Consider the following 23,874-nt stretch of genomic DNA (forward strand, 5'->3'; position numbering starts at 1 on the left):
CTTTTGTATTTTTAGTAGAGACGGTGTTTCACCGTGTTAGCCAGGATGGTCTTGATCTCCTGACCTCGTGATCCGCCCGTCTTGGCCTCCCAAAGTGCTGGGATTACAGGCGTGAGCCACCGCGCCCAGCTTTTTTTTTTTTTTTTTAATAGAGAGAGGGTCTCACCATGTTGCCAAGGCTGGTCTCAAACTCCTGGGCTCAAGTGATCCTCCCACCTCGGCCTCCCAAGGCACTGGGATTACAGGCGTGAGCCACCACGCCCGGCCTCAAAAACTTTTCAGAATATGAACCCCACTCCATGCTCAGCACTGTTCTGTCTAGAAGGCAGAGTCTATCCCTGTCTCAGGGCACACTGACGTGCAGACAGCGAGCTCGCCCTGAGGTCATGCGACTGGGAGGGACAGAGCTTCCGGCTCCCGGCAGAGGGGAAATGGGGCCTGGCCCACGGGAGAGCTGAGGCCCACGTTTGGCCAGGACAGGGTGGATGGAGGCTGGGGCCTCCGCAGGGAAGATGGACAGGTAGGATCCGGGGTGGGCAGAGAGGGAGAGCTGGCTTGGACGGAGGCAGGGATCTGGGGGCTGTGCCATGGACCCTGTGAGGTGGCTGGGCTGTGAAACTCAGTGGAGACCGGAATTATTATTATTATTATTATTTTTTTGAGATGGAGTCTCACTGTCTCCCGGGCTGGAGTGCAGTGGCACGATCTCGGCTCACTGCAAGCTCCGCCTCCTGGGTTCACGCCATTCTCCTGCCTCAGCCTCCTGAGTAGCTGGGACTACAGGCGCCCACCACCACGCCCGGCTAATTTTTTGTATCTTTAGTAGAGATGGGGTTTCACCGTGTTAGCCAGGAAGGTCTTGATCTCCTGACCTCATGATCCGCCCGCCTCGGCCTCCCAAAGTGCTGAGATTACAGGTGTGAGCCACCGCTCCCGGCCTGGAGACCAGATTTGAGCCCTGGGACCCTACATTCCCGATGGGCAGCGGACCTCAAGGCACACCGGCCCCGCCTCCCTGGACTCTCCCCGTATCCGCCCCTTGGAGGGGCAAACTGCCCTCAGAGGGCTCCCACAGGCCCAGACACAAACTGGTGTCCCCAAGGGTGTGGGGGACACGGTAAGCTCCAGACCTCAGTTTCACCTTGGAAATGAGCCCCTTTGTAAAAAATGGAGGTGAGTTTGGACGCAGTAGCTCACACCTGTGCTCCCAGCACTTTGGGAGGCCGAGGCAGGTGGATTGCTTGAGCTTAGGAGTTTCAAACCAGCCCGAGCAACATAGTGAGACTCCACCTCTACAAAAAAATACAAAAATTAGCCGGGCATGGTGGCATGTGCCTATGGTCCCAGCTACCTGGGAGGCTGAGGCAGGAGGATTGCTGGAACCCGGGAATCGGAGGCTGCAGCGAGCTGAGATCGTGCCACTGCACTCCACCCTGGGCAACATAGTGAGATCCCATCTCTACAAAATATACAAAAATTAGCCGGGCACGGTGGCGGGTGCCTGTGGTCCCAGCTACTCGGGAGGCTGAGGCAGGAGGATCAGTTGAACCCAGGAGATTGAGGCTGCAGTGAGCTGAGATGGTGCCGCTGCCCTCCAGCCTGGGCAACAGCGAGACCTCAACTCTGAAAAAAACAAAAGAAGGAGATGAAATTTACATAACTTAAAATTAGCCATTTTGAACGGTACAGTGAAGTGGTTTTCGGTGCATTCACCGACTTGTGCAACCATCACTGCTGTCCAGTCCCAGAACATTCCATCACCCCAAAGAAGGAAGCCCCATCTCCATCCATCAGCCATCACCCCCTGCCCTCCCCCGGCCCCTGGCAACCACAGATCCACTTCCTGCCTCTGCAGATTTGCTTGTTCTGGACATTTCGTCTATTTATTTTTATATAGTTTTTAATTTGTTTTTATTTATTTTTTTTGAGACGGAGTCTCTCTGTGTCACCCAGGCTGGAGTGCAGTGGCGCAATCTCGGCTCACTGCAACCTCCACCTCCCAGGTTCAAGCGATTATCCTGTCTCAGCTTCCCAAGTAGCTGGGACTATAGGCGCCCGCCACCACGCCCAGCTAATTTCTTTTTTTTTTTTGAAATGGAGTTTTGCTCTTGTCGCCCAGGCTGGAGTGCAATGGTGCGATCTCGGCTCGCTGCAACCTCCGCCTCCCAGGTTCAAGTGATTCTCCTGCCTCAGCCTCCTGAGTAGCTGGGATTACAGGCATGTGCCACCACGCCCAGTTAATTTTGTATTTTTAGTAGAGATGGGGTTTCTCCATGTTGGTCAGGCTGGTCTTGAACGCCCAACCTCAGGTGATCTGCCTGCCTCGGCCTCCCAGAGTGCTAGGATTACAGGTGTGAGCCACCGCACCCAGCTTGTCAATTATATCTCAATAAAGCTGTTGAAAAAGTTTAAAAAAATCACCCAATCGGGCACAGTGTTTCACACCTGTAATCCCAGCATTTTGGGAGGCCGAGGTGGGTGGATCACCTGAGGTCGGGAGTTTGAGACCAGCCTGGCCAATATAGTGAAACCCCATCTCTACTAAAAATACAAAAAATTAGCCAGGCGTGGTGGTGGACAACTGTAATCCTAGCTACTCAGGAGGCTGAGACAGGAGAATCACTTGAGCCTGGGAGGCGGAGGTTGCAGTGAGTCGAGATCACACCATTGCACTCCAGCCTGGGCAACAAGAGCGAAACTCCGTCTCAAAATAATAATAATAATAATAATAATAATAATCACCCATACAGACGCGCAGGACTCAACGCAGGACTGCCAGCTCCACTGCCCTGAGCCCCCCGGTGCCAGGCCCAGCGGGCAGTGCTGGAGCCCCAGTGGCTTGGGATGGGGAGACTGGGACTCTGAGCTGGCAATGTTCCTGGGTGCTGGCTGCATGCCCGCCATGTGCTGGGCTCCGGGATCCACTGGTTCCTGACACCCTCACCTGCCCCTGGGGGTGTGGCCATCTTCTAGAGAGGGAAACTGAGGATCAGTGCAGAATGTAGGGGGAGCCCAGGCTGGCCCAGGGAGCAGTTGGCGGTGGAGGCCTTGGGCAATTTCCCGTGTTCCCACTGAGTGGGGCTGTCCCTGGGCCTGGGCGGGGACGCCACCAACTGCCAAGGCCTGTGTATAAGGGCAGCCGCCGCCTTAGCCACAGACCTGCCCCGCCATGACCCGGCTGACAGTCCTGGCCCTGCTGGCTGGTCTGCTGGCGTCCTCGAGGGCCGGTGAGTGCCTCTCTGTGCCGGTGGTCCCCCATCTGTGCTAGGGCCCGGCTGCCAGGGCAGAACTCAGACTTAAAGCACAGAGAAGGCAAGCGGCTTGGCCTGGGTCACACAGCCAGCCCGGCCTGGACGATCCCGCGAAAGGCGTGAGGGCGGACGGTGTGCGGGACTCAGGGGCCCCCTGTCCTCTTAGGGAGTGGGACGATGGGGGAGGGTGGGTCCCCCCGCAGCCCCACTGGGTGGATAGAGCTGAGGCTGCAGCTTCACACGCCCTCCCGGCCACTGTGTGGATTCTTGGGGATCTCAGAGCTGTCTCCCCCCGACCCAGGCTCCAGCCCCCTTTTGGACATCGTTGGCGGCCGGAAGGCGAGGCCCCGCCAGTTCCCGTTCCTGGCCTCCATTCAGAATCAAGGCAGGCACTTCTGCGGGGGTGCCCTGATCCATGCCCGCTTCGTGATGACCGCGGCCAGCTGCTTCCAAAGCCAGTGAGGGGTCCTGGGGAGGGGGCCTAGGGGGCATTGGGGCTCAGAGAAGGGGCTTGGGGGGCTTAGGCATTCAGTGGGGGTGCTTGGTAGGTGAGGAGGGGAGGGGATTGCAAAAGGAGGGGCTCAGGGAAAGGAGGGGGCTTGGAGAGGGAAATGGGGACTGAGTTGAGGAGGGACCCAAGGATATTGGGGGGCTCAGATGGAGGAGGCCCAGAGAAGGGAAGGGGGTCAGATGGAGGAGGCCCAGAGAAAGGAAGAGGCTCAGATGGAGGAGGTGCAGTGAAGGAAAGGGGGTCAGATGGGGGAGGCCCAGAGAAGGGAAGGGGCTCAGATGGAGGAGGGGGCCCAGAGAAAGGAAGGGGCTCAGATGGAGGAGGTGCAGAGAAGGGAAGGGGGTCAGATGGGGGAGGCCCAGAGAAGGGAAGGGGCTCAGATGGAGGAGGTGCAGAGAAGGGAAGGGGCTCAGATGGAGGAGGTGCAGAGAAGAGAAGGGCCTCAGATGGAGGAGGTGCAGAGAAGGGAAGGGCCTCAGATGGAGGAGGTGCGGAGAAGGGAAGGGGGTCAGATGGAGGAGGTGCAGAGAAGGGAAGGGGGTCAGATGGGGGAGGCCCAGGGAAGGGAAGGGGCTCAGATGGAGGAGGGGCAGAGAAGGGAAGGGGGTCAGATGGGGGAGGCCCAGGGAAGGGAAGGGGCTCAGATGGGGGAGGCGCAGAGAAGGGAAGGGGGTCAGATGGAGGAGGTGCAGAGAAGGGAAGGGGGTCAGATGGGGGAGGCCCAGATAAGGGAATGGGGTCAGATGGGGGAGGTGCAGAGAAGGGAAGGGGGTCAGATGGGGGAGGCCCAGATAAGGGAAGGGGCTCAGATGGAGGAGGTGCAGAGAAGGGGAGGGGGTCAGATGGAGGAGGCTCAGAGAAGGGAAGGGACTCAGATGGAGGAGGGGGCGCAGAGAAGAGAAGGGGCTCAGATGGAGGAGGAGGCGCAGAGAAGGGAAGGGGCTCAAGATGGGAAGGGGGCCCTGGAAAGTCTCGGCTCTGCTTCTGTAAAAGCGGGGGAGTTTTCAGGGTGAAGGATTGCAGTCTGCAGGCTGGGATCCCCCCTAATTTGCAAGCCGGCTTGCTCTGTGCCCAGGCCCCAGCCTGGTGTCCTCCCTCTGCCCTTTCCTCCGCTACTCTCAGGAACCCCGGGGTTAGCACCGTGGTGCTGGGTGCCTATGACCTGAGGCGGCGGGAGAGGCAGTCCCGCCAGACGTTTTCCATCAGCAGCATGAGCGAGAATGGCTACGACCCCCAGCAGAACCTGAACGACCTGATGCTGCTTCAGGTGAGAGGATGGTGCCACCTGTGATCCCAGCACCTCGGGAGGCCGACGTTAGCCAGGGAAACAAGTCCAAACTTGGTCTCTACAAAAAAATACAAAAATTAGCCGGGAGTGGTGGCGCGCACCTGTGGCCCCTGTGCTTCAGGAGGCCGAGGCGGAAGGACGGCTTGAGGTCAGGAGTTCGAGACCAGCCTGGGCAACATGGCCAAACTCAGTCTCTACAAAAATATATATGTGTGTGTGTGTGTGTGTGTGTGTGTGTGTGTGTGTGTATCTTGCCGGGTGAGGTGGCTCATGCCTGTAATCCCAGCATTTTGGGAGGCCGAGGTGGGCGGATCACGAGGTCAGGAGATTGAGACCAGCCTGGCCAACATGGTGAAACCCCATCTCTACTAAAAATACAAAAATTAGCCAGGCATGGCAGCGGGCGCCTCTAGTCCCAGCTACTCAGGAGGCTGAGGCAGGAGAATCGCTTGAACCCGGGAGGCGGAGCTTGCAGTGAGCCGAGATCGCGCCCCTGCACTCCAGCCTGGGTAACAGAGCCAGACCCTATCTCAAAAAAAACTTCCAAAAACAATACAGCAACACATACAGATGTACCACGGTTCGCGTATGGAGCCTCCTGTTGGTGGAGACTGACGTCGTTTTCAAATGCTTTTGCTATGACAGAATCATGTGAATGTTTTTCATGTTTGGTTTTTTTCTTTGAGAAAATGATAAAATTATCTCAAAAATATCATTAAAAAATTTAAAAAAGTAGAGACGGGGGTTTCACCTTGTTGGCCAGTTTGGTCTCGAACTCCTGGCCTCAAGTGATCCACCCACCTTGGCCTCGCAACGTGCTGGGAATACAGGCGTGAGCCACCGCACCCGGCCCCTGCCGGGAATTAAACGCAAACCACTTACAGACTACAGTTAATGTCGCTGACACTTCTGCTCCCAGGGGTCCCCATGAGGCTCCAGTCCCCAGGGCCACCCTCCCCTGACTCCATTTCCTTCCCCAGCTGGACCGTGAGGCCAACCTCACCAGCAGCGTGACGATACTGCCACTGCCTCTGCAGAACGCCACGGTGGAAGCCGGCACCAGATGCCAGGTGGCCGGCTGGGGGAGCCAGCGCAGTGGGGGGCGTCTCTCCCGTTTTCCCAGGTTTGTCAACGTGACTGTGACCCCCGAGGACCAGTGTCGCCCCAACAACGTGTGCACCGGTGTGCTCACCCGCCGCGGTGGCATCTGCAATGTGAGTGCTCCCTGTGGCGGGAGGAGGGGTCCTGAGAGGTACTGAGCTCTCCGTGGCAGGAGAAAGCAAGTGCAGGCTGAGGGCGGCACAGCAGGGGGGCCCCAGGATTGAGCATTTTCACGGTAGGAGAAACAGTATCTTTTTTTTTTTTTTTGAGACAGAGTCTCGCTCTGTCGCCCAGGCTGGAGTGTAGTGGCGTGATCTCGGCGGCTCACTGCAACCTCCGCCTCCTGGGTTCAAGCGATTCTCCTGCCTCAGCCTCCTAAGTAGCTGGGATTACAGGCATGCGCCACCACGCCCGGCTAATTTTGTATTTTTAGTAGAGACAGGGTTTCTCCATGTGGGTCAGGCTGGTCTCGAACTCCTGACCTCATGATCGACCCACCTTGGCCTCCCAAAGTGTTAGGATAACAGGCATGAGCCACCGTGCCTGGCTGAGAAACAGTAGCTATCAAACGCCGGCTGTGAGCCACGTCTGTGCTGGGGGTTGGGGACCCAGCAGGCATGGTAGAGCCGGTCACTGAGGGACTCAGGCGTGTGATTGCCAGGGGAGGGGCACCTGGCCCAGCCTGGAGGTGCCAGGAAGCTCCAGAAAGCAACTGATCCCAAAGTCCACTAGCAGTTAACCAGGGCAGAGAAAGAGAAGAGCCATGCAAAGGCCCTGGGGCTGGATCAGGACTTGTAGGTTCCAGGGGCAGCAAGAGGCCTCTGCAGTTCTGGGGTGGCGTGGGAGCCAGGCCCTGGGACGCCCTGACACAGCTGCTGCCTGCCCAGGGGGACGGGGGCACCCCCCTCGTCTGCGAGGGCCTGGCCCACGGCGTGGCCTCCTTTTCCCTGGGGCCCTGTGGCCGAGGCCCTGACTTCTTCACCCGAGTGGCGCTCTTCCGAGACTGGATCGATGGTGTTCTCAACAACCCGGGACCGGGGCCAGCCTAGGGGGGCCTGTGACCTCCCATGGAGCCCAGCCCCGCCCTCCACACCTCCGGCGCTCCGCACCCACCTCCCACGGCCCCGCCCCTGCCCCCGCTCCGGCCAGAGGGGCCCTGGCTGTAATAAAGAAGCCGATCTCTCCTCTGCTCCTGGTTTCTGTTCATTGGTGGGGGAGGGGGCTGTGGGGACGCGTGAGTGGCACCTTCACCGGCCTTAGGGGCACCCACCGCAGGTGCACTGCCTGTGCAGATGTCAGATGTTCAGAGATTCCCTCAAAGCCCGGGAAGCAGGGGCTGGTGTTATCTGCACCCGACAGCGGGGTGTTGGGGGGAGGCCCAGGTTCAGAGAGGTTGGGTGGCTGCCCAGAGGTCACACAGTGAATGCCGCCCAGCACTTTGGGAGGCCGAGGTGGGCGGATCACCTGAGGTCAGGAGTTCAAGACCAGCCCGGCCAACCTGGTGAAACCCCATCTCTATAAAAATACAAAAATTAGCCGGGCATGATGGCGGGCGCCTGTAATCCCAGTTACTTGGGAGGCTGAGGCAGGAGAATCACCTGAACCCGGGAGGCGGAGGTTGCAGCGAACCGAGATGGCGCCACTGCACTCCAGCCTGGGCGACAGCGAGACTCCAGCTCAAAAAAAAACAAAAACCACGGGAGAAAACGGGGAACATTCTCCTCTTGGATCCAATAGAAACAGTAAAACGTGAATATGAAATAATAAATATAATTGTATATATAAATAATACAGAATAAAATATGAATATGATGGCTGGATGTGGCAGTCACATCTGTAATCTCAGCACTTTGGGAGGCCAAGGTGGGAGCATCGTTTGAGCCCAGGAGTTTGAGACCAGCCTGGGCAACGTAGTGAAACCATGTCTCTACAAAAATAATTTTTAAAATTATTAAAATTACACAGGAGAGGCCGGGCACAGTGGCTCATGCCTGTAATCCCAGCACTTTAGGAGGCCAAGGCGGGCGGATCACGAGGTCAGGAGATCGAGACCATCCTGGCTAACACGGTGAAACCCCGTTTCTACTAAAAATACAAAAAATTAGCCAGGCGTGGTGGCGGGCGCCTGTAGTCCCAGCTACTCGGGAGGCTGAGGCAGGAGAATTGCTTGAACCCGGGAGGTGGAGATTGCAGTGAGCCGAGATCACGCCACTGCACTCCAGCCTGGTGACAGAGCAAGACTCCGTCTCAAAAAAAAAAAAAAAAAGCCGGGTAAGTGGCACCTGTCGTCCCAGCTACTCTGGAGGCTGAGGTGGGAAGATTGCTTGAGTCCAGGAGGTGGAGGTTGCAGTGAGCCGTGATCGCACCACTGCACTCCAGCGTGGTCCACAGAGCAAGACCCAGTCTCTTAAAATGATAATAATAATAATAATAATAATAATAATAATAATAAGAAGAAGAAGAAGAAGAAGAAGAAGAAGAAGAAGAAGAAGGAAGAAGAAGAAGAAGAAGAACCTGTAGTCTCAGCTATTGAGGAGGCTAAAGTGGGAAGATCACTTTAGCCCAAGAGGTTGAGGATGCAGTGAGCTATTTTTATCTCATTTATTTATTTATTTGAGACAGAGTCTCCCTCTGTCACCCAGGCTGGAGTGCAGTGGCGCGATCTCGGCTCACTGCAACCTCTGCGCCCCCAGTTCAAGCAATTCTCCTGCCTCAGCCTCCTGAGTAGCTGGGACTACAGGTGTGAGCCACAATGCCTAGCCAATTTATATATATATATTTTTTAGTAGAGATGGGGTTTCATTATGTCGACCAGGCTGGTCTTGAACTCTTGAATTCAGGTGATCTACCCATCTCAGCCTCCCAAAGTGCTGGGATTACAGGCGTGAGCCACCGCGCCTGACCTTATTTCATTTATTTTTGAGACACGGTCTTTCTCTGATGCCCAGGCTGGAGTGCAGTGGCGTGATCAAGGCTCACTGTAGCCTCAGCCTCCCAGGCTTCAGCAACCGTGCCCGGCCTTAGAATTCACTCTTTTAAAGTGTGTACAGCCGGGCGTGGTGGCCCACACCTATAATCCCAGCACTTTGGGAGGCCGAGGCTGGCAAATCACCTGAGGTCAGGAGTTTGAGACCAGCCTGCCCAACATGGTGAAACCCTGTCTGTACTAAAAATACAAAAAATTAGCCTGGCATGGTGGCATGCACCTGTAATCTCAGCTAGTCGGGAGGCTGAGGCAGGAGAGTGGCATGAACCCGGGAGGCGGAGCTTGCAGTGAGCCAAGATTGAGCCACCGCACTGCAGGCTAGGGGATAGAGTGAGACTCTGTCTCAATAAAATAAAAAATAAAATAAAATAAAATGAAGTGTGCAATTCAATGGTCTTCGGTACACTCACAATGTTGTGTGGTCATGACCTCTGTTGAGTTCCAGAATATTTCATCACCGCCAAAGGAATCCCTGTCCCCATCAGCCGTCACTCCCTGTCCCCTCCCCAGTCCGCGGCACCCACGCGTCCTCTTCCTGTCTCTGTGGATGGGCTTGTCCTGGACATTTCATAGCAATGGGATCACACACTATGTGGTCTTTCGTGTCCGGCGTCTCTCACGGAGCGTGACGTCCTCACGGTGCCTCCGCGCCGTGGTCGGGTCACAGCTGGGTCCGTTTCACGGCTGCGTCCTGTTGCCACGCCTGGAGGCCTCACTGTGCTGCTCGAGGCCCCTGTGGATGGACGTCTGAGCCTCTCCACTTCCGGCCACTGTGACCCTCACTGCTGTGGACACTCATGTGCAGGTTTGTGTTGGAACTGCTGCTTTTCTTTCTTTTGTGGGTATAACGGGTCCTTTTTTTTTTTTTTTTTTGAGACGGAGTCTCGCTCTGTCGCCCAGGCTGGAGTCCAGTGGCGCGATCTCGGCTCACTGCAACCTCCACCTCCCGGGTTCACGCCATTCTCCTGCCTCAGCCTCCCGAGTAGCTGGGACTACAGGCACCCGCCACCGTGCCCGGCTAATTTTTTGTATTTTTAGTAGAGACGGGGTTTCACCGTGTTAGCCAGGATGGTCTCGATCTCCTGACCTCGTGATCCGCCCGCCTCAGCCTCCCAAAGTGCTGGGATGACAGGCGTGAGCCACCGCGCCCGGCCAACGGGTTCTCTTTACAGAGGGGGAAACTAAGCCTAGAGAGGGGTGCCAATGGCTCAGGAGCCCAGCCGGTGGGGGCCCTGCCTGGGTTTGGAGAGGCAAAGCCACTGCCTGATCATTGTTCAGATGGGGAAACTGAGGCCCAAGGCAGGATTGGGGTTCAAGGGCTTCTGGTGCCCCCGGCTCGGGGCCACGTTCGGTCATGAGGGTCCCCCTGCTGGGGCGGGATTCCTGCCAGAGGCGGTTTCTGCCCTCCTCCCCCCAGCCCCTGCTGCTCCCCCTTCCTGGGCCCAAGGGTGCTGTTCTCGGGTTCCCCTGGTAGCGGTCAGCCCGGCTGCAGGGCCCTCAGAGCGGGGCTGCGTGTGACTGTGGGCAGCCCGAGTCCTCTCCGCGCCTCGGATTTCAGGGACATAGAACGGGGTCCCATCCGTGGACCCACCCGCCACCCCGCAGCCCCGTCCAGGCCCCGACGCGTGCAGCCCCCACCCCGCAGCCCCGTCCAGGCCCCGACGCGTGCGTGCAGCCCCCACCCCGCAGCCCCGTCCAGGCCCCGACGCGTGCAGCCTCCTGGCAGAGCCAGCTGTGCTCAGGCTAAAAACAGCTGTTCTGTTTCTTCTCTGTGCCCCTCTACCCGGCCCCACTCACTGGTGTCTTGAGAAGGTTTTTAAATTTTCGGAATTCTCAGAACAGATTGTGAAATGTCTGGGTTTGGCTTAGAAATCCCGTGAGAGGGGGCATCAGGGGACAGGTGGGTGGATGGGCCTGGGGGGTGTGGAAGGCGGCCGGGTGTCAGGGCCCCAAGCACACGGGAAGGTCAACGGTCGGCACAAAACACACACAAAACACAACCACTGCGAGGCTGAGCCTCGCGGGCGAACCAGCATCTTCCCGTCACTCAGGGAGAGAAGGTTTTCCTTTATAAAGAGGAGAGGAAAGGAGGCCGGGCACAGTGGCTCACGCCTGTCATCCCAGCACTTTGGGAGGCCGAGGCGGGTGGATCACCTGAGGTCAGGAGTTCGAGACCAGCCTGGCCAACATGGTGAAACCTCGTCTCTACTAAAAATACAAAAATTAGCTGGGTGTGGTGGTGGGCGCCTGTAATCCCAGCTATTCAGGAGGCTGAGGCAGGAGAATCGCTTGTACCCAGGAGGCGGAGCTTGCAGTGAGCCGAGATCGCGCCACTGCACTCCAGCCTGGGCAACAGAGCAAGACTTCATCTCAAAAAAAAAAAGAAAGAAAGAAAGAAAAAGAAAGTAGTAGAGGAGAGAAAAAAGAGAGAACAAGAAAGATGGAGAGACAGAGACGGACAGAGACACAGAGACAGAGAGAGACGGAAAAAGAGGGACAGAGCCAGAGAGACTGAGAGAGATAGTTTTAAAAAAGGGAGACAGCGATGACACAGAGAGACACAGACACAGACACAGAGATGAAGAGACAGACAGATATAGGGAGACAGAGACAGACTGAGACAGAGAGACAGAGACAGAGGGAGACAGAGACAGAGACAGAGAAGGAGACAGAAAGAGGGCGGGGAGAGAGACAGAGACAGAGACACAGGCCTGAGCCCCGCATGGGTCTCCCCTCGGCCCCAGGCGGCGTCACCTGCGATCCCTGAAGCCGTTACCAGTTGCGCCACCTACGGTTGGTACAGGAAGGGGCCCCCACTACCTCTGCCCCCAGGCCGACCCCTGCAAAGCCCCCAGCGTGTTCCACGGAACCCTCCCTGCTACCCGCTCCCAGCGCTCCTGTCGCCCTGGCCTGTGCTTTTGAGTCCCCCCAGGACGCACAGGGAGCCTGGAGGACCCGGGGCCCGCGGGACGGTGCTGGGACCCTCCGGTCAGGACCGGGCTGCATCAGCCTTGCGTGGAAACAGATCCTGACGGGGAAGCCCACGTACAGTGAGGACGGGGCAGCCCCCTGGGCAGCTCTCGCGTGTGCTAGATCCAGCAGTGTGTGTGCAAGGTCTTTCTTTTCTTTCTTTTCTTTTTTTTTTGGTTGACAGCTTTATTGAGATGTCCTTCACACACACCAAGCAATTCACCCACTTAACAATTCGGTAGTGGCCAGATGGTGGGGGAGGATCGCTGGAGCCCAGGAGTTCCAGACGAGCCTGGGCAGCATAGCAAGACCCCTCTCTATTAAAAAAAAAAAAAGGCAGGGCGCGGTGGCTCACGCCTGTAATCCCAGCACTTTGGGAGGCTGAGGCCGGCGGATCACCTGAGGTCAGGAGTTCGAGACCAGCCTGGCCAACATGGTGAAATCCCGTCTCTACTACAAATACAAAAAACAAATTATTCAGGCGTGGTGGCAGGTGCCTGTAATCCCAGCTACTTAGGAGGCTGACGCAGGAGAATGGCTTGAACCCAGGAAGCCAAGGTCACACCACTGCACTCCAGCCTGGGTGACAAGAACAAAACTCCATGTAAAAACAAATCAAGAAACCTCAAATCCGTCGACCCCCACTGCTGCCCTGCAGAAGGTCCTATTACCGTCCTCACCCGCCTTTACAGGTGGGGAAACTGAGGACTGCAAGCCAAACAGCTTGCCTCAGCATGAGCTGACTCATGGCTGAAACCAACAGCACTTTTGTTGAATGAGAATAACCCTTTTATTTTGAGACGGTGTCTCGCTCTGTTGCCCAGGCTGGAGTGCAGTGACGCGATCTCAGCTCACTGCCCCCTCCACCTCCCGGGTTCAAGTAATTCTCCTCCCTCAGCCTCCCAAGTAGCTGGGATTACAGGCATCTGCCACCACACCCAGCTAATTTTTGTATTTTTAGTAGAGTCGGGGTTTCACCATGTTGCCCAGGCTGGTCTTGAACTCCTGACCTTGTGATCCATCTGCCTCAGCCTCCCAAAGTGCTGGGATTACAGGCAACAGCCACCGCGCCCGGCCACAGCTCTAGTTCTTTTTCTTTTTTTTTTTTTTGAGACGGAGTCTCGCTCTGTCGCCCAGGCTGGAGTGCAGTGGCACAATCTCTGCTCACTGCAAGCTCCGCCTCCCGGGTTCACGCCATTCTCCTGCCTCAGCCTCCCGAGTAGCTGGGACTACAGGCGCCCGCTACCACGCCCGGCTAATTTTTTGTATTTTTAGTAGAAACGGGGTTTCACCGTGTTAGCCAGGATGGTCTCGATCTCCTGACCTCGTGATCCGCCCGCCTCGGCCTCCCAAAGTGCTGGGATTACAGGCGTGAGCCACCGCGCCCGGCCCACAGCTCTAGTTCTTTAATACACATCAGGTCGGTCATGGTGGCTCATGCCTGTGATCCCAGCATTTGGGGAGGTCAAGGCAGGAGCGTCCCTGAAGGCTGGCAGTTCAAGACCAGCCAGGGCAACATAGCAAGACCCCATTTCTACAAAAAATTAAACAGCCAACCAAAAAAAAAAAAAAAAAGAAAGAAAAACTTTAGCTGGACATGGTGGAGCATGCCTGTGGTCCCAGCTACTTGGGGGGTTGAGGCAGGAGAATTGCTTGAGCCCAGGAGGTCGAGGCTGCAGTGAGCCATGATTACACCACTGCACTCCAGCCTGGGTGACACAGCCAGACCCTGTCTCAAAAAATATATATGTATATTTTAAAATATTATATATTATATAATGTAAATAATATACATGCTACATATTTTATGTATACATCTATGTTATATACATTAATATAGCCAGGTGCAGTGGCTCACACCTGTGTTCCCAGCACTTTGGCGGGATTACGGGCGGGTCACCTGAGGTCAGGAGTTCGAGACCAGCCTGGCCAATATAGTGAAACCCCGTCTTTACTAAAAATACAAAAAAAAAAAAAAATTAGCCAGGCGTGGTGGTGGGCGTCTATAATCCCAGCTATACAGGAGGCTGAGGCAGGAGAATTGTTTGAACCCGGGAGGCGGAGATTGCAGTGAGCTGAGATCGCACCACTGCTCTCCAGCCTGGTGACAGAGCGAGACTCTGTCTCAAAAAAAAAAAAAAATCCAAAGGGGAAAACAGTAACTGGACAGTGCAGGAACCGGCAGATGCCCTGACCACGTGGTCAAGGTTATTACCATCAGCACGAGACAGGCCGAAGCCATGGGCTTCGACGTGGGGGGCCTGAGACAGACACACGCCACGCCCGGGACTCCCTCCATTGAGTCCTGAGGCCACCCAGGACCATCCCCACGGAGGGACGCTCTGCAGAGTGACCACCAGCTCTCCTCAATGGTCCCAAGGGCTGAGGGAGGGCAGAGGGACTGCGCCCGCTGGAGGAGACCCTGACATCTGAAGATGGGTGGCTTGTGTACCCAGGACCCAGCAAAGGGTGGCTGGTGATACTCAGGGGGCTGGGGCAGAGGGGGCCATTTGGAATCAACTTTCGCGCCCTGGCTTCGATCACAGCCTGGAGGGTTGAGCAAGAGGACAGAATTTAGGGAAGCTGGGGGAGGGAGGCCGGGGGAGGGAGTTTGGGGAGCGGGGAGGGAGTTTGGACCCTTTGGACTTCTGTAAGCGTGAAATCCTTTCCAAATGAAACGTTAAAAAGCTTTTTTTCTTTTTGGCCTCCAAGTTCATTCAGTGCTTCTCTCCATTTCACTGTAGGTTTAAACCGTTCAGTTATAAATAAATAATTTTATCCTCTGTCCTCGGCTTTCCCCCGTTTCCGGCACTGCAGACATGGGGGCTGGATTTGTCTCTGCGGCGGGGCCATCCTGGGCACTGCAGGGCCCTGCCAGGAGCTCCCTCCAAGTCGTGACAACCACGGATGTCTCCAGGCCTCACACAGGGACCCCTGGGGGCAGAATCACCCCAGGGTTAGAGGATTCCACAGACCCCAAGAGACTCTGAGTCCCATGATCCTCTGCCCTGCTGAGGTCCCAGGAGGCTGCACACATTGAAATCCACACCCTGAGTGGGAGGGAGAGAGGAGGCGAGTCCCGGGAGCTGGGGTCCCCCGGGTTTATGCCGTACGCCCCATCGGGAGTTTATTCTGGTGTCCGGTGTGAGCAGGGGGCAGACTGGATTTTTTATTTTTTATTTTTATTTATTTATGTTTTGAGATGGAGTCTTGCTCTGTTGCCCAGGCTGGAGTGCAGTGGCACGATCTTGGCTCCCTGCAACCTTCGCCTCCCAGGCTCAAGTGATTCTCCTGCCTCAGCCTCCTGAGTAGCTGGGACTACAGGCGCCCGCCAACACGCGCAGCTAATTTTTGTATTTTTAGTAGAGATGGGGTTTCACTATGTTGGCCAGGCTGGTCTTGAACTCCTGACCTCAGGCGATCCACCCGCCTCGGCCTCCCAAAGTGCTGGGATTACAGGTGTGAGGCACCGCACCTGGCCATTTTTTTCCCCAAATAATGAACACTGGTCTCTCCCCTGGGCCCTGTGGACATCGGGGCTGGATCCTTCTCTGGGGCAGGCCCGTCCTGGGCACTGCAGGGTGCTAGGCATCATCCTTGGCCTCCACCCACTCCATGCCAGGAGCTCCCCTTTCGTGACAGCCACAGGTGTCCTCAGACCTCGCCCAGGGTCCCCTGGGGGCAGAATCACCTCTTGATTGAGAATCCTGGCCTTAAAGGGGGAAGAAAACCCCCAGACAAAACTGGCAGGAGGATGTTCGCTGGGGCCTCAGGTGAGGCACTGAGGGCACTCGTGGTGGGGCCCTGCCTTCCCGAGCTCTGCATCCTGTCCCCTGCTACGTCCTGCTGTCTGTCCGTTTCCAGCTCACCCACCCACGGGACACACCTGCCACGGCCGGCTTTGCTGGGGCCACAGGGACCTCGTCAGGGAGGCGTCTCCTTGTGGGTGGCACGTGGGCATGTGTTGCTCTGAGGGCTGTGGCCATGTTGCCCACCTGGCCAGGGACCCCCGACTTGGGTGGGTGACAGCCAGCCTCCCCGCCCCCACAAAGGTTGGGACCTTGAGCCCAAAGCCCCCACCTCCTCCCCGGAGTCCGTTCTGACTCCCAGGCTCCCAAGGCAAAAGGAGGAAGTGGGGACCCAGCCTGGGCATTGGGCAACTCAACGGCCTCTGGCATTGGGCTATAAGAGGAGCTTGACCGTGGGTGCACCCTGGACCCCACCATGGCTCACCGGCCCCCCAGCCCTGCCCTGGCGTCCGTGCTGCTGGCCTTGCTGCTGAGCGGTGAGTGAGCCACGTGCCCATCCATCCAGCCTCCAGGCCCCGGTGGATTGTGGGGAAATATCCACCACGAGGTCCATCCAAAGCCCTTCTGGCACAGCTGGGGAAACTGAGGCAGGGTCAGGGGAGACTCCACTCACTGCTCGGGACCAACGCTTGCAGGGGTGGGGAGGACAAGGGCAAGGGGGAGCCCTGGCCATTTGACTCAGTTGCCTATCTGTAAAACGGGCAAAACCCAGCCCTTCCCTCCTGAGGAGCTGTTTTGGGAATTAGCTAGTAACAGGCGAATTCCTGGACAGCACCCAGCCTTCAGCAAATGCTCAGTGAATATGCATGAATGAATGAATGAGTGAATGAATGAGTGAGTGAGTGAATGAGTGAACAAATGAATGAGTGAATGAATCAATGAGTGAGTGAATGAATGAGTGAATGAGTGAATGAGTGAACGAATGAATGAGTGAATGAATCAATGAGTGAGTGAATGAATGAGTGAATGAGTGAATGAATGAGTGAATGAGTGAATGAGTGAACGAATGAATGAGTGAATGAATGAATGAGTGAGTGAGTGAAAGGGTCGAGGAGTTAGTGATGCTGGAATCAGGGGAAGAAGAGAGCATGGGCCCCCTCAGGTCCCTATCCTGAGGGTGATTTTCTTTTTCTTTTTCTTTTTTTTTTTTTTGAGACGGAGTCTCGCCCTGTCGCCCAGGCTGGAGTGCAGTGGCGCGATCTCGGCTCACTGCAAGCTCAGCCTCCCGGGTTCACGCCTTTCTCCTGCCTCAGCCTCCCGAGTAGCTGGGACTACAGGCGCCCACCACCATGCCTGGATAATTTTTTGTAATTTTTGTAGAGACGGGGTTTCAAGGTGTTAGCCAGGATGGTCTCGATCTCCTGACTTCGTGATCCGCCTGCCTCAGCCTCCCAAAGTGCTGGGATTACAGGCGTGAGCCACCGCGCCTGGCCCTTTTTTTTTCTTTTTTGAAACGGAATCTTGCTCTGTCGCCCAGGCTGGAGTGCAGTGGTGCAATCTCAGTTTACTGCAGCCTCAGCCTCCTGGGGTCAAATGATTCTCCTGCCTCCGCCTCTTGAGTAGCTGGGATTACAAGCACACACCACCACACCTGGCTAGTTTTTGTATTTTTAGTAGAGATGGGGTTTCACCACGTTGGTCAGGCTGGTCTCGAACTCCTGACCTGAGGGGGATTTTCAATGCCTCAGTTTGTTCATCTGCAAAATGGGTCTCTTTGTTGGCTGATTTTTTTTTTTTTTTTTGCTTCTTTTTTTTTATTTTGTTTTGTTTTGTTTTTTTGAGATGGGGTCTCACTCAGGCATGAGCCACTGCGCCCAGGATTTTTTTTTTTTTTTTTTTTTTTTGAGACAGAATCTCACTCTGTTGCCCAGGCTGGAGTGCAGTGGTGTGATCTCGGCTCACTGCAACCTGTGCCTCCTGGGTTCAAGCGATTCTCCTGCCTCAGCCTCCCAGGCAGCTGAGATTACAGGTGCGAACCACCACACCTGGCTAATTTTTTTTTTTTTTTTTTTTGAGACGGAGTGTCATTCTGTTGCCAGGCTGGAGTGCAGTGGGGCGATCTTGGCTCACCACAACCTCCGCTTCCTGGGTTCAAGCGATTCTCCTGCGTCAACCTCCGGAGTAGCTGGGACTACAGGCACGTGCCACCACGCCCAGCTAATGTTTGTATTTTTAGTAGAGACAGGGTTTCACCATGTTGGCCAGGATGGTCTCCATCTCTTGACCTCAGGTGATCCACCCACCTCGGCCTCCCAAAGTATTGGGATTACAGGCGTGGGCCAACCGCACCCGACCAATTTTTCTGCTTCTTTAAAAACATTTTTTTAAATTTTGTTTTAGAGACAGGGTCTTGCTCTGTTGCCCAGGCTGGAGTGCAGTGGTGTGATCTCAGTTCACTGCAGCCTTGACCTCCTGGGCTCAAGCGATCCTCCCTCCTCAGCCTCCCAAGTAGCTGGGACGACAGGTGCACACCACCATGCCTGGCTAATTTTAAAATTTTTTGTAGAGATGGGGTCCTCACAATTTTGCCCAGGCTGGTCTTGAACTCCTGAGCTCAAGGGAGCCTCCTGCCTCGGCCTCCCAAAGTGTTGGGATTACAGGCGTGAGCCACTGCACCCAGCCACCTGGTCTGCGTCTTAAAAGCCTTCCTGACTCTCAGGACTGAAAGCTGCCACCAGGGCGCCTTTGGAAATCGTCGTAATTATAACCCCCCCGGCCTGGGCGCTGAGTCCTTCCCACCAGCCAGCAGGCACTGACCGGGTTGCAGATCGGGAGACGGAGGCTCGGAGAGGCCCAGGGGCTGCTCTGCCATCCCCCCTTTCCCTGCAGCCTGGGGGCTCCCTGACGCCTGGACTCCCCCCCTGCAGGTGCTGCCCGAGCTGCGGAGATCGTGGGCGGGCACGAGGCGCAGCCACACTCCCGGCCCTACATGGCCTCCCTGCAGATGCGGGGGAACCCGGGCAGCCACTTCTGCGGAGGCACCTTGATCCACCCCAGCTTCGTGCTGACGGCCGCGCACTGCCTGCGGGACATGTGAGCGGCCGCCTCCACACCCCTGTCCGCCCGCCCCGCCCTCTTCCTCCAGCCCTGGCCCGGCCACTGTCCCTCTGCCCGGGGAGGACCCAGCTAAGCCCCGTCTGCAGACCCCAGGCCCCGCGCGCGTGGGCAGTTCTGGGGGGAGGCCCGGGGCAGGGTCGCCGAGGGAGGGGTCTGGGGCTGCACCGCGGCCTCGGGAAGGGCCGGCTGTGGGCGGCGGCGAGTGTCCAGGGCGCCGAGGAGTGACCACCCCACCCCCGCAGACCCCAGCGCCTGGTGAACGTGGTGCTCGGAGCCCACAACGTGCGGACGCAGGAGCCCACCCAGCAGCACTTCTCGGTGGCTCAGGTGTTTCTGAACAACTACGACGCGGAGAACAAACTGAACGACGTTCTCCTCATCCAGGTGGGCGGGCAGGGCCGCGAGGGCTCGGAGGGGCACGGCCAGAGGGCTCCGGGACCCCCATTCCTGCAGCCAGCATTCATTGAGCACCCACTGTATACCGGGCCACGACCGAGGCCGCTGCAGCCTGGGTCCAGTGGCACTGGCCGGGGGAGACCGCTCCTTGGACACCAGGCCACTCCTCCTCCCCGCCTCTCCCCCGCCCGCGCCTCTCCCCCGCCCGCGCCTCTCCCCTGCGCGCCTCTCCCCCGCCCGCGCCTCTCCCCCGCCCGCGCCTCTCCCCCGCCCGCGCCTCTCCCTTGCCCGCCCCTCTCCCCTGCCCGCGCCTCTCCCCTGCATGCCTCTCCCTTGCCCGCCCCTCTCCCCTGCCCGCGCCTCTCCCCTGCGCGCCTCTCCCCTGCCCGCGCCTCTCCCCCGGCCGCTCCTCTCCCCCGCCCGCGCCTCTCCCCCGCCCGCGCCTCTCCCCTGCGCGCCTCTCCCCTGCCTGCCCCTCTCCCCTGCCTGCGCCTCCGCCCGGTGTGCTGTTCCCCCAGAAAGCCAGGTGCCCTCGCCTCCTCCGGCGCCTCCCCTGACCTCACTGGAAGTGGCGAGGACAGCCACAGCCCTCCCCGATTCACTGTTCTCCACTGAACCGCGTGCTCCTCTCATTCATGGGGCCCTCCTAGCCTCCTCCCACCCAGAAAGATCAGCTCCCCAGGGCAGAGGATTTTTGTCTGTGTTGTTCGTTATTGGACTCATGTGGCTTAGAACGGGACTGGGCATACAGGTGGTGCTCAGTAAGTGCTTGGGGCTGGGCACTGTGGCTCACGCCTGTACTCCCAGTACTTTGGGAGGCTGGGATGGGAGGATCACTTGAGGCCAGGAGTTTGGGAGCAGCCTGACCAACCTAGTGAGACCCCATCTCTATAAAAGACATTTTTTTTTTTTTTTTTTTTAGACAGAGTCTCACTCAGTCATCCAGGCTGGAGTGCAGTGGTGCAATCTCGGCTCACTGCCACCTCTGCCTTCCAGGTTCAAGTAATTCTCCTGCCTCAGCCTCCTGAGTAGCTGGGATTACAGGCATGCACCAACACGCTTGGCTAATTTTTGTATTTTTAGTAGAGACGGTGTTTTGCCACGTTGGCCAGGCTGGTCTCGAACTCCTGACCTCAAGTGATCTGCTCTCCTCAGCCTCCCAAAGTGCTGGGATTATAGGAGAGAGCCACCGCGTCCAGCCTACAAAAGAAAAATTTAAAAATCAACCGGGCATGGTAGCACACGCCAAGCCACTCATGAGCTGAGATGGGAGGATCACTTGAGCCCAGGAGGTTGAGGCTGCAGTGAGCTGTGATCATGCCACCACACTCCAGCCTCGGCGACAGAGCAAGACCCCATCTCAAAAAAAAAGTGCTTTGAAGATGAATGAATGGGCCAGGGGCGGTGGCTGTAATCCCAGCACTTTGGGAGGCCGAGGCGGGCGGATCGCCTGAGGTCAGGAGTTTGAGACCAGCCTGATCGATATGGCAAACCCCGTGTCTACTAAAAATACAAAAATTAGCTGGGCGTGACGGCAGGTGTCTGTAGTCCCAGCTACTTGGGAGGCTGAGGCAGCAGAATTGCTTGAACCCAGGAGGCAGAGGTTGCAGTGAGCCGAGATTGTGCCACTGCACTCTAGCCTGGGCAACAAGAGCGAAACTCCATCTCAAAAAAAAAAAAAAGAAAAGAAAGAAAGAAAGAAAACATGAATGAATGGCCGGGCACTATGGCTCACACTTGTAATCCCAGCACTTTCGGAGGCTGAGGAAGGCAGATCACTTGAGGTTGGGAGTTTGAGACCAGGCTGGCCACCTCACCCAATGGGATGGCTCCGGGAGGTTCCAGTGAGCCGAGATCACGCCACTGCATTCCAGCCTGGGTGGCAGAGCAAGACTCCATCTCAAAAGAAAGAAAGAAGGAAAGAAAATGAATGAATACAATAGTGACAAATGGGACAAAGGGGGTCGTGGGGCCCAGGCGGAGGGAGCGGCATCCGCGGCGTTTTGAGGTGGTGGGTGTGGTGGGTGTGGTGGGAGGGCGGCCCGGGCGGCCACCGTGACCTGGAAGCAGCGTCTCACCGCCGCCTGCCTTCTGCCCCAGCTGAGCAGCCCAGCCAACCTCAGTGCCTCCGTCGCCACAGTCCAGCTGCCACAGCAGGACCAGCCAGTGCCCCACGGCACCCAGTGCCTGGCCATGGGCTGGGGCCGCGTGGGTGCCCACGACCCCCCAGCCCAGGTCCTGCAGGAGCTCAATGTCACCGTGGTCACCTTCTTCTGCCGGCCACATAACATTTGCACTTTCGTCCCTCGCCGCAAGGCCGGCATCTGCTTCGTAAGTAACCGTGCCCCCACCCCGGGCACCGGGCTGCCATGAGGGGAGGAGGGCGGCGGCCAGGGTTCCACGCCACCTCTTAGCTGTGTGGCTTCATGCTGTGCCTCAGTCTCCCCACCTGGAAGGTGGGCACACCCAACACCCAACGGGCAGGCTCAGCGGGGTGGGGGCGCTCACATTGCACCTGGCTGCTTGGGTGGGTCTGGGGGTTCCCTGCCCCCCACTCCCCTCTAGGACCACAGGAAGGTGTGGGAGACCCATCCGCCCTCACCGGCGGCCCCTTCCAGAATCCAGGACTCCAGGTATCCAGCGGGAGGCCCATAAATGCCCAGTTCCTACGAAAGACCTCAGCCCCTCCCTGCTCACACTTTTTGTTTGTTTTTGAGACGGAGTGTCGCTCTGTTGTCCAGGCTGGAGTGCAGTGGTGAGATCTCAGCTCACTGCAACCTCCACCTCCCAGGTTCAAGGTATTCTCCTGCCTCAGCCTCCTGAGTAACTAGGTGCACAGGTACCTGCCACCGTGCCTGGCTAATTTTTTTGGTATTTTTAGTAGAGATGAGGTTTCTCCATGTTGACCAGGCTGGTCTTGAACTCCTGGCATCAAGTGATGCCTGGCTGGTGCTCACACATTTTAAAGAAAATTCCAGGCCAGCAGTGGTGGCTCACGCCTGTAATCTCAGCACTTTGGGAGGCCAAAGCGGAAGGATCTTTTGAGTCCAGGAGTTCAAGACCAGCCTGGGCAACATAGCAGGGTGGCATCTCTACAAATAATTTAAATATTAGCTGGGCATGGTGATGTGAGCCTGTAGGCCCAGCTACTCAGGAGGCTAAGGCAGGAGGATCACTTGAGCCTGGGGAGTTCGAGGTTGCAGTGAGCTATGATTGTGCCACTGCACTCCAGCCTGGAGAACAGAGCGAGACCCTGTCTCGAGAGAAAGACAGCCAGCTACTCGGGAGGCCGAGGCAGGAGAATCACTTGAACCCGGGAGGCAGAGGTTGCAGTGAGCCGAGATCACGGCACTGCACTCCAGCCTGGGTGACAGAGCGAGACTCTGTCGCAAACAAAACAAAAACAAAACAAAACAAAACAAAAGGAGAAAGAAAGAAAGAGATAGAGAGAGAAAGAAAGAAGAAAGAAAGAAAAAGAGAGAAAGAAAGAAAGAAAGAAAGAAAAAGAAAGAGAGAGAGAGAGAGAGAGAGAGAGAAAGAAAGAAAGAAAGTTCCATATTGGAAGCATTTTATTCTGAAACAGCTGTGGCTACCCCAGCCCCCTTCCTGGCTGCCTGGGGCCAGCCCGGGTGACTGGCTGTCCCCATCCTCCCGGGAGACTCAGGTGGCCCCTGATGGGTGACTGGCCGTCCCCATCCTCCAGGGAGACTCAGGTGGCCCCTGATGGGTGACTGGCCGTCCCTGTCCTCCAGGGAGACTCAGGTGGCCCCCTGATCTGTGATGGCATCATCCAAGGAATAGACTCCTTCGTGATCTGGGGATGTGCCACCCGCCTTTTCCCTGACTTCTTCACGCGGGTAGCCCTCTACGTGGACTGGATCCGTTCCACGCTGCGCCGTGTGGAGGCCAAGGGCCGCCCCTGAACCGCCCCTCCCACAGCGCTGGCCGGGACCCCGAGCCTGGCTCCAAACCCTCGAGGCGGATCTTTGGACAGAAGCAGCTCTTCCCCGAACACTGTGGCGTCCGGGACGGCCCCACCCGTCCCCCCACACTCCCTCCCACGGGGCTCCGGGAGACAGGCCGGCCCTGCACCTCACCCCACCGTGACCTCAATAAACGTTGAAACTCCCCCTGGCTCCTGTCTGTCCTTCCCATATAGGGAGGGGAGGGGGAACTGCCCACCGTGACCTCAATAAACGTTGAAACTCCCCCTGGCTCCTGTCTGTCCTTCCCATATAGGGAGGGAACCAGGGAGAGGTCCCCTGGGTTCAAGTCCCCGAGCCCCAAACTCAGGATGGGGGGAGTCGGAGCGGGGGATGGGGGCCCAGGTTGCAGGGGGTCTCTCTCCTGGATGCTCGTGGCTGTGGGTTCTAACCCGGCCCCATCAGGGTGGCCCTGGGCAGGTTGTTATTCATCTCCGTGCCTCAGTTTCCTCATCTGGAAAATGGACTCGCCCCAGACGTTTCCTAGAACTGTCCCTGCTGGCTCAGGGACTCCTTGAGGAA

At 57.2% G+C, this 23,874-nt stretch overlaps 2 protein-coding genes across 3 annotated transcripts; both read left to right on the plus strand.

Annotated features, from left to right (window-relative positions):
- The first annotated feature begins 3,159 nt into the window (after window positions 1-3,159).
- AZU1 (azurocidin 1) lies at window positions 3,160-7,341 on the plus strand. Its single transcript, NM_001700.5, has 5 exons — window positions 3,160-3,227; window positions 3,553-3,709; window positions 4,885-5,029; window positions 6,031-6,264; window positions 7,039-7,341. The coding sequence occupies exons 1-5, from the start codon at window positions 3,170-3,172 to the stop codon at window positions 7,198-7,200; spliced, it is 756 nt and encodes a 251-aa protein (NP_001691.1). The 5' UTR covers window positions 3,160-3,169; the 3' UTR covers window positions 7,201-7,341.
- Window positions 7,342-16,321: 8,980 nt separating this feature from the next.
- On the plus strand, window positions 16,322-23,498 carry PRTN3 (proteinase 3). 2 transcript variants are annotated; one of them, XM_011528136.2, is made up of 5 exons: window positions 16,322-16,392; window positions 18,784-18,949; window positions 19,216-19,357; window positions 21,470-21,700; window positions 23,073-23,498. In XM_011528136.2, exons 1-5 carry the CDS (start codon window positions 16,332-16,334, stop codon window positions 23,091-23,093), a joined length of 621 nt encoding a protein of 206 aa, XP_011526438.1. In that variant the 5' UTR covers window positions 16,322-16,331; the 3' UTR covers window positions 23,094-23,498. The 2 variants fall into 2 exon arrangements, with proteins under 2 accessions (XP_011526438.1, NP_002768.3); NM_002777.4 differs by having other exon boundaries at window positions 23,122-23,498.

Source organism: Homo sapiens, chromosome 19, assembly GCF_000001405.40.
Source record: "Homo sapiens chromosome 19, GRCh38.p14 Primary Assembly".
In the NCBI taxonomy this organism is placed as follows: Eukaryota; Metazoa; Chordata; class Mammalia; order Primates; family Hominidae; genus Homo; species Homo sapiens.